Source organism: Homo sapiens, chromosome 18, assembly GCF_000001405.40.
Source record: "Homo sapiens chromosome 18, GRCh38.p14 Primary Assembly".
In the NCBI taxonomy this organism is placed as follows: Eukaryota; Metazoa; Chordata; class Mammalia; order Primates; family Hominidae; genus Homo; species Homo sapiens.
The window spans coordinates 58365681-58379936 of record NC_000018.10 but is presented as its reverse complement, the minus strand read 5'-3'; the positions used below and the strand labels follow the sequence as shown (position 1 = coordinate 58379936).

At 47.6% G+C, this 14256-nt stretch overlaps 1 protein-coding gene across 50 annotated transcripts in view, besides 2 other annotated features; it reads right to left on the bottom strand.

Annotated features, from left to right (window-relative positions):
- Positions 1-14256, bottom strand: part of NEDD4L (NEDD4 like E3 ubiquitin protein ligase) — a 357315-nt gene that overhangs the window by 21604 nt on the left and 321455 nt on the right. For all 50 annotated transcript variants that reach the window (XM_006722426.5, XM_047437406.1, XM_047437407.1 and 47 more), the window contains 4 exons: positions 13709-13938; positions 12070-12191; positions 9470-9540; positions 6668-6763 (listed from right to left, as the gene is read on the bottom strand). In XM_006722426.5, coding sequence (XP_006722489.1) covers positions 6668-6763; positions 9470-9540; positions 12070-12191; positions 13709-13938 — 519 coding nt within the window. The remainder of the gene's footprint in view (positions 1-6667; positions 6764-9469; positions 9541-12069; positions 12192-13708; positions 13939-14256) is intronic.
- Positions 904-1439: an enhancer, noted in NCBI's record as "H3K27ac-H3K4me1 hESC enhancer chr18:56045730-56046265 (GRCh37/hg19 assembly coordinates)". NCBI's record gives its function as "activates a minimal SCP1, AML or CMV promoter by ChIP-STARR-seq in primed H9 embryonic stem cells {active_cell/tissue: H9 hESC(primed)}" and the evidence as "EXISTENCE:reporter gene assay evidence [ECO:0000049][PMID:30033119]".
- Positions 1440-1976: an enhancer, noted in NCBI's record as "H3K27ac-H3K4me1 hESC enhancer chr18:56045193-56045729 (GRCh37/hg19 assembly coordinates)". NCBI's record gives its function as "activates a minimal SCP1, AML or CMV promoter by ChIP-STARR-seq in primed H9 embryonic stem cells {active_cell/tissue: H9 hESC(primed)}" and the evidence as "EXISTENCE:reporter gene assay evidence [ECO:0000049][PMID:30033119]".

Here is a 14256-nt window from a genome sequence, read left to right as displayed (position 1 = left end):
GGGCCCAAGGATGGGCACAGGATGAGGGGTTTGTAATTCTGCTCCCTAAGCTACTAGGTTAGGGGTCACGCCCCCAGATCTCGGTGTCTCGGCTCGAGCCCTCCGTGGTACAGAAATGCATCCCTCTAGGATTCGTTACAGGTGACACTTTCATGAGTTACGGCGACACTTTCATGAGAAGCAATGACCACTCTTCAAATTCCACTTTTGAGACCGGCTGTCGGGGGCTGATCGTGACACCGTCTCCTGCAGTGCAGGCATATTGTCCAGCCCACCACACTGGCTTACTGCCACTGGCCGATGCCCCAGAGTCCTTGCTGGTTGGGCACGAGGCTCCATGGGGGTTGGAGAGGCGGCTATCTGACTCTAATGCTCGCCTCCAGGCACACAGATTCCCTGCGGGCCTTCATTCCTGTCTCACCATCACTCTAACTACAGCCTGTGTTCTCCTTTCGCCCAAATTTGTCCCTTCTTAACATCAGCTGTTGCCACCACAGGAGGGGAGGGACTGTATGTCCTCAGCACTGAACACCGGGTGGTACCGTGACAGTGTCAACCCTAAGTGGGAGAAATCGGGGCAGCGTCACACAGGGGCTGCTCTCTGCCCTGCGCATCTCCTATAGGTGCTGCGGCAGCGCCCTGGCCCCCGTCATGAGGGTGGACAGCATCCCGGAGGCAGAAATCCAGCAAAGTGACCAAGGAGAAACAGCGAACTGCAGATGGAGCTGGTGCTGGCACCCAGGGGCCCTGCTCCCTGGTGAGCAGTCTGCAGAGCCTGCTCTGTGGGGTGGATTCTTGCCACCTTCAGCCACGAAACGCACACCCCGCCCTCCCAGGGCTTTCTGGGCCATCGCCCTCCTGTGCCTGGGCTCCTGGAGGACCCCACACAAGGAACACAATGCCCAGCCACAGCAGGCGCTCAGCAAGAGCTCGTGGGAGAACACTGCAGTAGAAAAATTCCTCTTTAAGTCTACTGGCCCCAGCATAAACTTGGCTCTCTTCCTCACAGAGATCAGAGGAACTTCTGGGGGACTCCCTGCCTTGGCCAGTTAACAACCCGATTCCCACACATCTCCCTGACCCTCCATAAATGCTTTGCGCTGCCTGGGAAGCTGCTGAGAAACAGCTTGGCTCATATGGAATATGCTGGACTTGGGTGGAGCAAGGCTTATCTGCTTGTCAGACTCCATTCTTGGAAACGGAGCACTGCTGGGCAAACGCCCACTGATGGGTGCTCACAAATCCTGCAGGGCACGGCCTCGGGGGCAGTCAGCACCCTGCACCCCCATCACTCCACCAACCAGGCCTTCCTCATCCTCCCCAGCCTCTCCAGCAGCGCAACTACCGACAGCAGGGAGGCAGCAAGTCCATGCCAGCCTTCCCACTTCCCGTCTCCCCAGGTGCCACCCCTCTGTGTCCCTGACTGGCCTGAAGGGGCCGGGGCCTCAGCGCTCCTGGGAGCCACCTCCAGCTCCGGGCTCTTCGTCTGGCTCCTGGCTTCCGCCAGGACATGCTCTGCCCTCTCCCTCATTGACCATTTCTGCCTTTTCACTCACTGCCTTCCCCCAAGTGTTTCTCTACCTTTTAATTCATTATCACCCCCTAAAGAGCCTTTTTAGATTCTTTCTGCCAGTGGCCCACCTCTCTCCATGAAATCTTAACAGAGAGATCCACAGTACACCTGTGGAATGTGCTGTGGCTTCTGGGAGGGCCACTAACCACTTCAATGTCTGAGATGATGTCCTCCTTGTTCCCTTTGGGTAATCATTCCTATGGAGACTGGCTCGACCCGATCCTAAAGAACCTTCCTATATGGCTGCTGCCCATGGTCTCCCTCCAACTACTGCACAGCCTCTTGAAACTTCTGGCAGCTCTTCAAAACAATCAAATCAGGCCAAGCACGGTGGCTCACACCTGTAAGCCCAGCACTTCGGGAGGCTGAGGTGGGCAGATCACTTGAGGCCAGGAGTTCGAGACCAGCCTGGGCAATATGATGAAGTCCTGTCTCCACTAAAAATACAAAAATTAGCTGGGCATGGTGGCTTGCACCTGTAGTCTCAGCTACTCAGCAGGCTGAGGCATTGAGAATTGCTTGAAAGTAGGAGGCAGAGGTTGCAGTGAGCCGATATTCTGCCACTGCACTCCAGCCTGGGTGACAGAGCGAGACTCTGTCTCAAAAAACAAACAAACAAACAAACCCATAACCAAATTAGACGTTGCTCTGCTGAACTTGCAATAAAGAATTTTCACTTGTTACAGCCCTAAAAGGGCCCCTCCTCCCGGTGGGGGCAGGTATGTGTGCACAGCAGTGAATGGGGGTACGGCTTATTCTTCCTGCTTGGCACAGGATCATAGTTCAAACACTGACATTTCTTCAGTGGAAACTTTCATATTAGGCCCTAGAAACCAGCAGCCCCAGATTCTTACCAATCAGAAAGAAAACAAATTGCAAAATAATGGCAACAGCTGCAGCTTCATTACATGAAGGAACAGCTACCAAACTTCATGGTCTGATATTTCTAACTGTGAAATTAAAAAAAAAGAAGGTTGAAACACCGTGGAAGGCTGACTGCATGTCTGTTTCACCCCATGACAACTGCACTTGCTTTGCCCCACTGTGGAAGTGACTTGACTGTTTGGCATTGGGGAGGAATGGGCTTTCTTCTGGGTCAGAGTCAACAGTTTTGCAGAGGGCCAAAGAGGTGAGAGGCTTGTCCGGGCATCATGCTAACACCTAGATTTCCACATCAACAACTACAAGTACCCACCATGCACCAGGCAAAGTGCTTGTGGGAAGTACACGACAGTGAGTGAGCACAGGGCAGGCATGCGGCTGCCATCATCGGGAGGAAGCTGAGCAGGAGAGACAGGCACTAAACACAAACATACTCAGACAAATGCAAAGTCGTCTGTGGTACATGCCACAGGGCAGGCATGGAAGATGCATAGGGTCTGGGTCAAGGGCTGGCTTCCCTGATGAAGGGACACCTGAACTGAGACTGGGAGGGAGTATGCTCCCAACAGATGGAAGAGAAAGCAGAGGGCCTGAGGCAGGAAGGGGCTTGTGTTGGACAAGCCCAGTGGGGCCTGTGATTCACAGTGAGTCTGGAGGAGGAGCAGGGAGAGCCAGGCCACGCAGGACCTTGTGGGACAAAGTAAGGTTGGGGTCTTTATCTCAAGGGCAGGGGAGACCCCTGAAGGTTTCTGGCAGAGGAATGACATGCTCATTTTTATATTCCAAAAAGACCACTCTGCCATTATAAGAAGCCATATTGGATGTAGAGACGGGTCGGGGGTCTAGTGGGGAAGATGGGAGCTTGGACTTGGGTGTGAGTGAGAGAAGAGATCGGCAGAATGCACAGAAATGAGAAAGGTTTGGGAGGTGTGTGAACAACTCGCTGATGGACTGGATATGGGAGATGAGATCCATATGCAGCTATTTAACTTGCTCTAAATTCCTTCCCAGAGTGCAAAATAAATACGTGAGTTCCCTGTTAATCAGGATAGCTCTCTCAAAAAGGCAAGGCAGTAATTCAACAAACTGGGCACCTAATTCTTATCTTACTCATCTCATGGGTCTGTTTTGATTAATGCATTACTCTACTTGATCCTACCCAAAAGTCAGAAGAATTCACAACATTAAACGAGGAGGTCTGAGAACTGTTTTTAATGAAAATCTGGCCTGAACGATCATCAGAAGATTTATTAGAGGCCTGCTTAAAAACTCCAACACCCTGTGTTTGACTTTCATTTATGAGGTGGAAACAATTACATTTAAATGTAATTAGGAAGGTTTCCCAGATCATTTGCTTCTGATTGTGGCTTAATAGTTTTCTGAATTGGGTTAATTTGGTCATATGGTTTTCTATGAATGAATCTACGAAAAGACTTTTTTAATGCATGTGACACACAAGACTGACTTTCAGTCTTCCTTGGTTCTTTACTTCCACTCCTTCCTTCATATGTTAAAAATGAAAGGAAGATACTTCCAGGGTGACTAACCATGTCTAATCGTTTGAAAATTGGCAGTTTAAGACCCTTCAATAGGTCCGGCTTTTTAAAAAAAGCCACCAAGACTTGACTGATTTTGTTTTCTCACACTTAGGATTTCTATTACTTACCACCTTATTCATATTTTTAATAAGCCAGGTTAGCACTCCTCATTCGTTTGCTCAATGAGCACTGGCAGGCATCAACTACATGCTGAGCCCTGGAGAGACCCAGAAGACCTCAGGGGGCATACAGCACACAGCACGTCAGTCAATACCTCGAGGATGGCAGGGAAAGAGGTGATGGGAGAGAGAATGAGAATGCATCGGTACAGAGTGGGCAGTGTCGAGCCAGCAATGTGGCACTGAAGCATCTCTGGGGAAACCCTTGAAGGCACACTGTTTGTTGACAGGTTGACAGGAAGGAGGTGTCAGAGGGTAATGCCAGAGGGGGGTAGGTCTGGATTATGAGGGGTCATATGCCATGCTAACAGTTTTCATTTATGCTGAAGGTCACAAGATGGCCAAGTAGAAGAAGGACATTTTCAGGGCTGCATTTCAGAAATAGTCCATAAGGGGCTCACAGCTAGGCGGGCACTGGAGAACAGGGCACTGGAGAACAGGGTAGGCACTAGAGAACAGGGCACTGGAGAACAGCAAAGCAGGAAAGGGGGCGGCCGACAGGAGGCTGTGAGAACAGCAGTCAAGAAGTGATCGGAGCAGGGCTAGGGGAGTGCACAGACAGGGACGTGCCAAGGACGGGGAGTCACGGGGCACAGCAAGCCTGGGCACGGGGAGATGGCATGAGGAGGGGAGATGGCATGAGGAGAGAGGGAGATTCTGAGGGGATGCCCAAGTGTCAGGTGGGAGGGGACAGTGGTGGCACTGATGAGACCATAACCGATGTGGGGGCTGGGGAGGAAAAAGTGGCTTTAGCACTGGGACCCGTGAGCCTCTCAGGAGAAGCAGTTGAGGAGGCCGTTAGACCTGGGAATTCTGGAGGCTGGAAGGCAGACGCCGGCCTGAGATAAGAGGCTGGTGGTGAGCGGAGATGGGTGCAGCCGGAGCCACAGGTAGGATGAGGAAATCCAGATAGCAAGGGTGAGACAAAAAAGCAGCGGGTGCAGGACAGCTGGCAGGGTGACACCTGCATCCACAGGGCCAGCAGAGGAGCATGCACTTCCAGGGGACTGGAGACCAGTGGGGAGGGGTGAGAGCCCGGAGTGAAAGGCACTGTGCCTTGCAGGTGTCTCTGGGGGGAGTGAGCTATTTGTGTCAAAGGCAGCAGAGGAAGGAGGTAGACAGGGCTGGAGACACCAGTACTCTCGGTCCTGGGGAGGCTGCTGGAGACCAGAGGGGCAGCAGCTGAAAAGACCCCTCCCTGCCCCATCACAAGGTCCCCGTGCAGGAGAACAGTGTCCGCCTGTCTGTAAGGATTCTCAGGCATAAAGCACAACACAGTGGGGTGGGGAGGAGGCCGGGAAAGGGGGGCAGTGGGGAGGGGGCACAAAAGGAGATTTTTAAAGGACTTGATCATTTACATTAAGCCACAAGGTCTCTTGCCTCTGGTGCCTGAAGTCCTTCTCTGAGCCTTGCCTAGCCACTGAAGGGCCCTATGGACTCCCCAGGTTCCACCCACACCAGGACTCACACTAGAGACTGAACTCTCCTGGCTCAAACACAGGACATGGGAATAACAAGTGATTCTGATATTAATGTGATTATTTTCTTATCCAACAATTTTTACCCTCAGTTGTCATTAAATCCTCTAGTGGCATCAGCTTCTTTTCTCAAAGATTCTCTAGCAATCTTTGACATCTAGCAATAAAGAACACGTCTATTTCATTTTTCAGAGGGCAACCATTACAATGAGTTCTATGGTCTAATTAATTTCATAGCCGTGGAGATTTAGTCTGAAGGATGGGAAATACCTCTGGGCTTTTGCGGAAGGACAGGTACCAGGGTCAGAGAATACATTGAGAACACCTCCCAAGCTGCATCATTATTACTGAGTGGCAGATGAAGCAAAGGCTTCAGAATTGAGACAAATACATCGCATAGATCCTTAGCATGATGAGAATTATTCCAAGCAGGCAACTTTACCTTTGAAATCCACTTTCAGTGGCCCATCCAAATCCCTGCTGACCAGTCTGAAACTGACTTTGAGGATTAGTCCAGCCTGAATAACAGCGTGGGGGCAAAGCAGAGGGAATGGTAGAAAAACCGGAGCCTGCCATGCTGAGCCTCACAAGACAAATGTCGCCATGACAACAGAACCATAAAACAGAGAGAAAAACCAATGGCCCTTCCAACATCACCCACTCCTGGTCATGTATTTACATCGCTAAGTCAACAATCTCACTATTTTTTCAAGTACCTAAATTCTAAAACCGAGGCACAAATGAAACATTCACATTTGCTTTGGATTAGAAGAGGTGCTGGTTCATGCCCCAAGGCCTCTTGGAATTTCTGTAACTTTGCTGGAAGAGAGAAATGGTTGTAATTGGAGTGTGGCGTCTTGGCATGACAAAAAGGTGCTGCTACAATGAGATGAAAATTAACACCTGCAGCTCCTGCTGGTTGTTTCTGATGGTCCAGCAAAGTTGTGTTACAGCCCGTCAAGAAGAAAAATGCCCCTTGAAAGCTAAAGAAGAGTTCCCAGGGTTACCCACATGTACCTGTCCAAAGTTTTCTTCGTCTATGCAGAACATGAGGTCCAGCTCAGTAGGGTCATTCTCCAGGATCCATTTCAAAGAGTTGTAATATTCACTATCCTACAGAATGACACAGGAGTGAAAATTCAGCATTTTTTCCCCAAAATACAAACTCATTTGACTTCTTTAATTACATTCTAATGTAATTCTGTGCAGAATGCTCAAGAAATATGTTACTAATGCAATGTTTCCTGCTCCACCTAAACCAAACCTTCCTCTTTAAACTATAAACAAACAAACTGCTTTAGTTGTAATGAGCTTGCAGTTAAATCCTGTCCTTAGTGATGCACAGTGGAAGGCACCTACTCTGGATGGTGGATGGAGCTGCCATACTGGTCTACAAAATTTAACATACAGACATAAGTATACTTTCTTTTCTCTCTCTCTTTTTTTTTTTTTTTTTGTTTTTGAGATGGAGTTTCGCTCTTGTCACCCAGGCTGGAGTGCAATGGCATGACCTTGGCTCACTGCAATCTTTGCCTCCCGGGTTCTAGTGACTCTCCCGCCTCAGCCTCCTGAGTAGCTAGGATTACGGGCGTGTGACATCACACCTGGCTGACTTTTGTATTTTTAGTAGAGACGGGGTTTCGCCATGTTGGCCAGGCTGGTCAATATACTTTCTATCTTTTTAGAGTGAAAATATCATCGCTGTAATTCCAGCACTTTGGGAGGCCAAGGTGGGAGGATCACTTGAGCCCAGGAGTTAGAGACCAGCCTGGGCAACATAGTGAGACCCTGTCTCTATAAAAAATAAATAAAGTTTAAAAAAAGAGTGAAAGTATCTGAGGAAAACAGGAAGGATAAAGAATGTTCTAGACTGGGCTTGCTGGCTCATGCCTATAATCCTGTAATCCTCGGCTTTGGGAGGCTGAGGCAGGAGGAGGGCTTGAGGCTGTTCAAGACCAGCCTAAGCAGCATAGCAAGACGCCATGACTACAAAAAAAAAAAAAGAAATTAGCTAGGCATGGTGGTGTGTGCCTGTGGTCCTAGCTACTTGGGAGGCTGAGACAGGAGGATCACTTGTGCCAGGGGATAGAGGCTGCAGTGAACTATGGTTGTGCCACTGTACTCCAGCCTGGCAAACAGAATAAGATTCTATCGCCAAAAAAATAAATAAGTAAAATAATGTTCCAACTAAGTAAATACCAATAGTTTTAAGTTATCCCCTTTCTTGTGCTTTGATCACTCTCCAGGTTAATGTCAGCAAAAAGGGTGGCTGCTCTGGTTTCAGAATCCAGAGGATCAGTCACAGGCCTAAGCGCCTGTCCCTGGTCCCTCCACGGTCTCTCCTGCTGGGGACACGACGGGCTGTGAAGAGGGTAAAAATAATACACGCACTGTACTTTAGGCACTAACTGTCAGCATGTGGTATAAAGTTAGACGTTAAGAGAAATTCCTGTGCTCCTAGCTGCTTCATCATACAGTGATGAAAGCAGAAAGCACAAACACAGGGTCAAAGTGGAGACCGGAATCACAGGTGTGCATCCCAACCCACCATGACTGGCAAACCAGCAGTGGGTTCAAGGGCACTGCTGGCCTCTTCCTCTCCTTTCATACAATGAGGAGCAACAGAAACACTGAGTCAGCGCTGGTCAGGGCCGAGGACACAGCTCATCTACCCAACCGTGCCCAAAATACAGTTGGTATCACAGGCAGGTGACATCATGCAGGGGCTTTTTAACTCAAGTGAGCAAACACGAATGAGCTGCAAATACCCCAAATGGACAAACGCGCTTCCCAGTGGCCCTGTGTGTGTGCTGGCGTGTGGGCAAACACCCATACACTCTGGAGGTAGATGTGGGGTATAGGTACATTAAAAGAAAAACAGAAGCAGAAGTATATTATAAAAAGAACATCAATTTTTGTTTTATAGCAAATCCGTGCTGGGTGCGGTGGCTCACACCTGTAATCCCAGCACTTTGGGAGGATGAGGCAAGAGGATCATGAGGTCAGGAGATCGAGACCATCCTGGCCAACATAGCGAAACCTCGTTTCTACTAAAATACAAAAAAAAAAAAAAAAAAAAAAAATTAGCCAGGCATGGTGGCGTGTGCCTGTAATCCCAGCTATCTGAGAGGCTGAGGCAGGGGAATTGCTAGAATCCGCAAGGCGGAAGTGAGCCAAGATCGCGCCACTGCACTCTAGCCTGGGTGAAAGAGCAAGACATCATCTCAAAAAATAAAAAAAATAAAAAAAAAATAAAATCCTTCCAACTCTAAAATGGTCTGTCTAGGTAAAATTAATGTTAAATGCAACATGAAAACCCAAATCACTACTTGGAGAACGTCTCAAGTGTTCACTTGCCTGAGCTGTGGCGTCACTCATCCATGTCTAGGACGTCTGCCTGATACTCTTCCTATTGTTTTGACCTTTGCCTCTGCCATTTTTATGATGTCAGGAAACAGAGGGAGAGCGGATGAAGCTCTAAACATTCAGCAGCAGCAGTTTTTATAGAAAACACAGGCTACCATAGATCTTCAGCTGTCTCTTGGATTTAGTAAGTTCACACAAGTCCTATGCCGGGTAAGCAGAGGCAACTGGGATTTGGATGTATCCACCCTAGGTACCATGGTTCCAGGAAATGTGAACAATGATTTATTACAAGAATTAGATCAATGAACTTTTCAAGCAATTAAATGTCTCCTGTTGTTCACATGGAATGCAACACCCATAAAAGTGGCTGAGACTACAAATATGGCTCTCCAATACCTTCTCATAAGACACGAGTGCCCGGTGATGGCCAGTGTGTGACGTGCATTTACTTACCACAGATTCCATGTCATTCAGGGTTATCTGCTTTCCCAACATCATCTTGTAAAATGGTCTAATGAAGAAACCTAAAACACGGTAAACACTGGGTTTAGTTTCAGGTCTTTGACACTGCTATGTATCAGAGCATGAAAGAAAAGATTAACCTGCTTTCAATGTAAATGAGAAACCATGAAGGAGTAACCAAGGGCCTTCTACAGTATTGCACAAGCGAGGAGGCGAGATCAGGGGGAGAGTGGCATGAGGAGGGCAGCTGTGCTAAGAGAGATGGCGCAGCAGAGTGGGGCCAGAAAGGCCTCTGGGAGGTGACAGATGAGCTTCAAGGTCAAGCAGAGTCCGCAGTGCAAATCAGGCGTAGGAATTGGGGGAGAAAAGGGCACACTAAGCAGAGGAACAAGGCTGGGGACTTGCCAGCCGTTTGCCAGGGCGGGTAGACAGGCCAGAGAAGGGGCCGGCAGTGCAGAGCCCACATGGGGTGCTGGAGAGTTGGGGTGCTCTCTGAGGGCAGTGGGGAGTCAGTGAAAGGCCAGGTGAAATTCCATCTGTCTTCTGTTATCATTGCTTGGGCAGCGATGGGGAGAAAGCACAGGAAGGGGACAGGCTGGAAATGGGGAAGGCCCCGGAGAGGGCCTGTGCAACCCCCCGCGGAGGGACGGCAGAGGCCTCAGGGAGGCAACAGCAGCGAGGTCGGCCTCCCACCATTCAGGCGTCCTGCAGGTGCCTCCATTTCACCTGATCCAAAGGCATCACGCACCTCCTCACAGGGGGTCCTGACCCCACCAGACCTGGCACCCCAGGCTCCTGCTTCTGCTCCTTCATCCCCCCACCAGGCACCCACCCTCTGCAGTACAGGCCAATTCTCCCCGGCTCAGCGTGGCCCTATGCAGGCTCCAATAGACTCCAGTGTCTGGGGAAGTAAAAGCATGAAGCCGACCAGGGGGAGCAGCGGACAGATGTGCAGAATGAGCCCTGCCGACAGGGACATTCCCATCGGACAGATGTGCAGAATGAGCCCTGCCGACAGGGACATTCCCATCTGTGGGAAATTTGAAGACACTGCTGACTAGGCCCATCTATGTGCACTTGGACTCTTAAATGTGCAATTCCAGGTTTATATCGTGATCACTCTTGTCGGGGTCACTTTAGCCAGCTCCTTGAGACCCTGAGTGGTTCCTGCTTCCGCCCATCTTCTTCCACAAGGCCTTGACTCTGGGCTGGTCCTCACTCATCTGAAATGACCCCAGCCTTTGAACGCTCAAATGCTACCCCACCTCCGAGGTGCAGCTCATCCTGGGAAAGATTCCCTGAGCCTCCAGCCAAGTCACTTTCTCCTCTGAGGACTCAATGCACTCCCTTCTGCTCAGACACTATCACTGTGATTCTTCTGGTTTTGTTCTCATCTCTTTTCCCCCCGCTAAAATATAAGCTGACTAAGGTCAGGATCATATCTTATGCTTCTCTATTACCCCCTGTTAGAGAGGGTATTAAAGACACTGTAGCAACTAACAGCATCTTCTCACTTGCATACGGTGACTAAACTGACCTTCTGAGAAAGTTGGAGTGAATTGGAGCAGGCTGAAACAATCTATGGCATGACTCCAAAGCTGGAAATTAAAATATATTCACACTATACATACATGGAAAGAGTGTGTGGTTTAGTTTCCTTCTAGAGGAAAAAAAGTGTTTACTGTCGCCCTGCTACCAAATAAAGCAACAAAATCAGAGCATCAATATCAGCTACCAATTAACAGTAAAAACATATTCATGGGAAAAGTACAGAGGGTATACAAATTATTTATTAGAATAGCTAAGGCTCTATAAATGCAATGAACACAGTTCCCTTGGAAATATCTTTCTTATAAGTTACTGCAATGTCAATCTCAAATCCTACTCTCCCTCTTCCCATCCTCAACCACTCTACCTCCAGGCTCTTAAAAAGTATTTCTGATGCTTTTTTCTCACTGATGATTTCTGTAGTGTTTTCTTAAGGACACTATTTTGAATTGGCCAAATCTTTTAGAAGTCTCTAAGCCTATAGATACCGCCAGGTAGAGGGTTTGACTTCTAACTTTCAAGGTACCTTGAAATTCTTCCATGATCTATATGCTTTAAATAAGAATGAAATTATTTTGTGTTATTTGTTTCAGGGTTAATGTCTTAGCTAAGCAGTAACATTATTTTGAAATTATTTAGTCCCTTCAAATTAAAAAATAATTTGGGGACAAACGCAATAATCACAGGATATTAGATAGATGAGATCATTTTAATTAACTTTTCAATTAGTTTTTCCATCTGTTATCAAATCTTGCTTTCACTAAAGTTATTCCAGAAAACATACAAATGTATAAATACATAATGTTCTGTGTTTTACACTGAAGTTAAAAAAAAACTTTTGTTTTTAACTGTGTGTAGACACTATGTCTTCAGTGCCCAAAATAAGCTACCAGAGAAAAGGACATCCATTATGGGCAAAACATAAAAATACTTTATGAGTAAACCAGTGAAGCTTTTGCTTAAAAACCCATGATGCGAAAGATAAGACACCTACTAGCAAACCGCAAGCAGCACTGACCTATTTTTATTACTTCAAGACTTACCATCTAAGAGCTTCCCATGAAATACGGCCAGACCAGCAACTCTTCCAATAAAAGTGAAGTAGGACAAATGATCCTCATTACAGAGGCCTGAATTAGGGTTGATCTGAAGGGTGTAGTTGTCCCTTTTGAGGAGAAAGAGAAGAAAAGCCCAATCACACTTTCAAATGCAAGATTTTGCATATTTGTTTGCCACCTGTCACTCAACTTTTACAGTGTCCCTGCGAGCATTCTGTACCTAGTGGGAAAATGTGTGGGCTAGAGGACCTGACTTACCACATGCTCAACCGTGACCCACCATGGAGGCTGACGCATGTGCCCTCTAAAGTCAATTAAACCATAAGAGACGCTGATGTTTGACTGTTTTTGACCTACGAAGTGTCTATTTCATATGGTTCAGCCAAATATCTTGGGGAGATGAGAAACGCCACATAATAAAGGGGCTGTGCAGGGATTCCCAAAGATGTGAGTACTTTAGGTCGTCTCTGTGATGAAGGAAGTTTAATTCCTTCCAGAGGCTTTTGGCTTGGCCATAAGATGTTTGCTATGGGCCCAACCCTTGGTCTGTCTTCTGACCACTACTCTGCTCTGAAAAGGCCTCGAGGGGATTAGGAACAGGATATGGCTCTCTCAATGATGCAAACCTGCAAATTTTTAGATTTGTCCAAATGATCTTGCTTGGTTCACAATCATGTGGATCAGTAGTTTTCAAACTGGGATCACAGACTGATTCCTCCGGGGTGGGGGTATCTTTGAAAATGTGGAGAAGAGGTAAAGATCTTGTCTCTCTCCACCCTGCCCTCCACCTTCAATAGTTGGATACATTGTACATAGTGGGCTTTCTCATGGGACTCAGTAACAACAAATCAATTGGGCAATTCTTGGCTAGAGCAACCAGGAAGAATGTACTGAGGCGGCCTTCCAAATGAGCCCCCAGGAGACTGGTACCAGGTGGGAGATGTGGGGGAACCCACGTCCCCTTAGAGCCCAGGGCTGGAGTGATGACAAATGCCCTTCAGCAAGGTCAATGACTATTCTACTGGGGGCTTGGGTACTGCCCAACCCTTGGAGGATTCAGAGTCTGAAGGAGGAATGGCTGGCCTGGAAGTAGCTGATGTTTAATTGCTCAGAAAGCAATTTAGTCTGCCTCAGTTTCCAAGCCTGGCAATGATGAAATCCTAATGCAAGGGGAAACCTGGTTCTTTCCTTACAGGAGCAGGGCATGGTCCTAGGTCCTCAAAGTCCTTACAATTTGCCTTTACACAGGAGACCTCAGAAACGACTCTTGTTCAAAAAACACCTCCTTTGTTTTTGAATTCTAACACTGACAAGTCCTCCTCTTGAACACTGCAAATGAAAATCGCCTCCTGTTCCTTATCATAATTATCCACGTTTTCAATTTCAACTCCATGAACCCAATAGACAAGAAAAAAAATCAATGTTAGATGTTCGCAGAGTACACTATTTCACCACGTAGAGTCAGAACCTGTTCTAGACTTGCAAGGGGCTGTGGGGTGAGGAGAGAACAAACTCAGCAGAGTTAATGCATCTCGAACTCATGAGCTGCTTATCCTTTCATTCTGTTTAAATTCATACAACTGTCTCAGTGGGGGACACACACTGGGTGTGGCCATATACTTACGTGGCAGAGTACTCAAAGAGGCCGTAGTAGGGGTTGAACATCTCTTTGGACAGTAAGAAGAACCATTCTCTGGCCACACCCCCATAGTCAAGACCTTTCTCTGATTCAAACTCAATCCACAGTCTAGCTTTTAGGACATCTGGTCTTTTCACGGACATAATTCTCCGATAGGACTCTTCAAATATGTTATTTCTGTGAAGTTTCATTTCAAACCTATTGGGGATATCAGCCTACACAAAAGACAAAAGAAAACACATAATCATACAGTAAATACACACTTTGTTTTCTAATAAAAACAACAGCAAATGGTAGAAAAGTTGGCAGTCCTCAAAGAAACAGGCAGTGACAAATGGTTCCAACTGAGATTCTCTCCTTTAGGGGTTTTCCCTTGCAGACAGAAAGCCTTGCTGTGTCACGATGGGACACACGGCATCCACTAGCGATGCTCAGGAAAGTTAGAACTCTGCTGCGAAGGAGAACATCCTCCTTGCCCCCTTTAATAAACAACTGTGGGCACTTCTCCAGCATAGGGCAACCGAAAGGCAGTC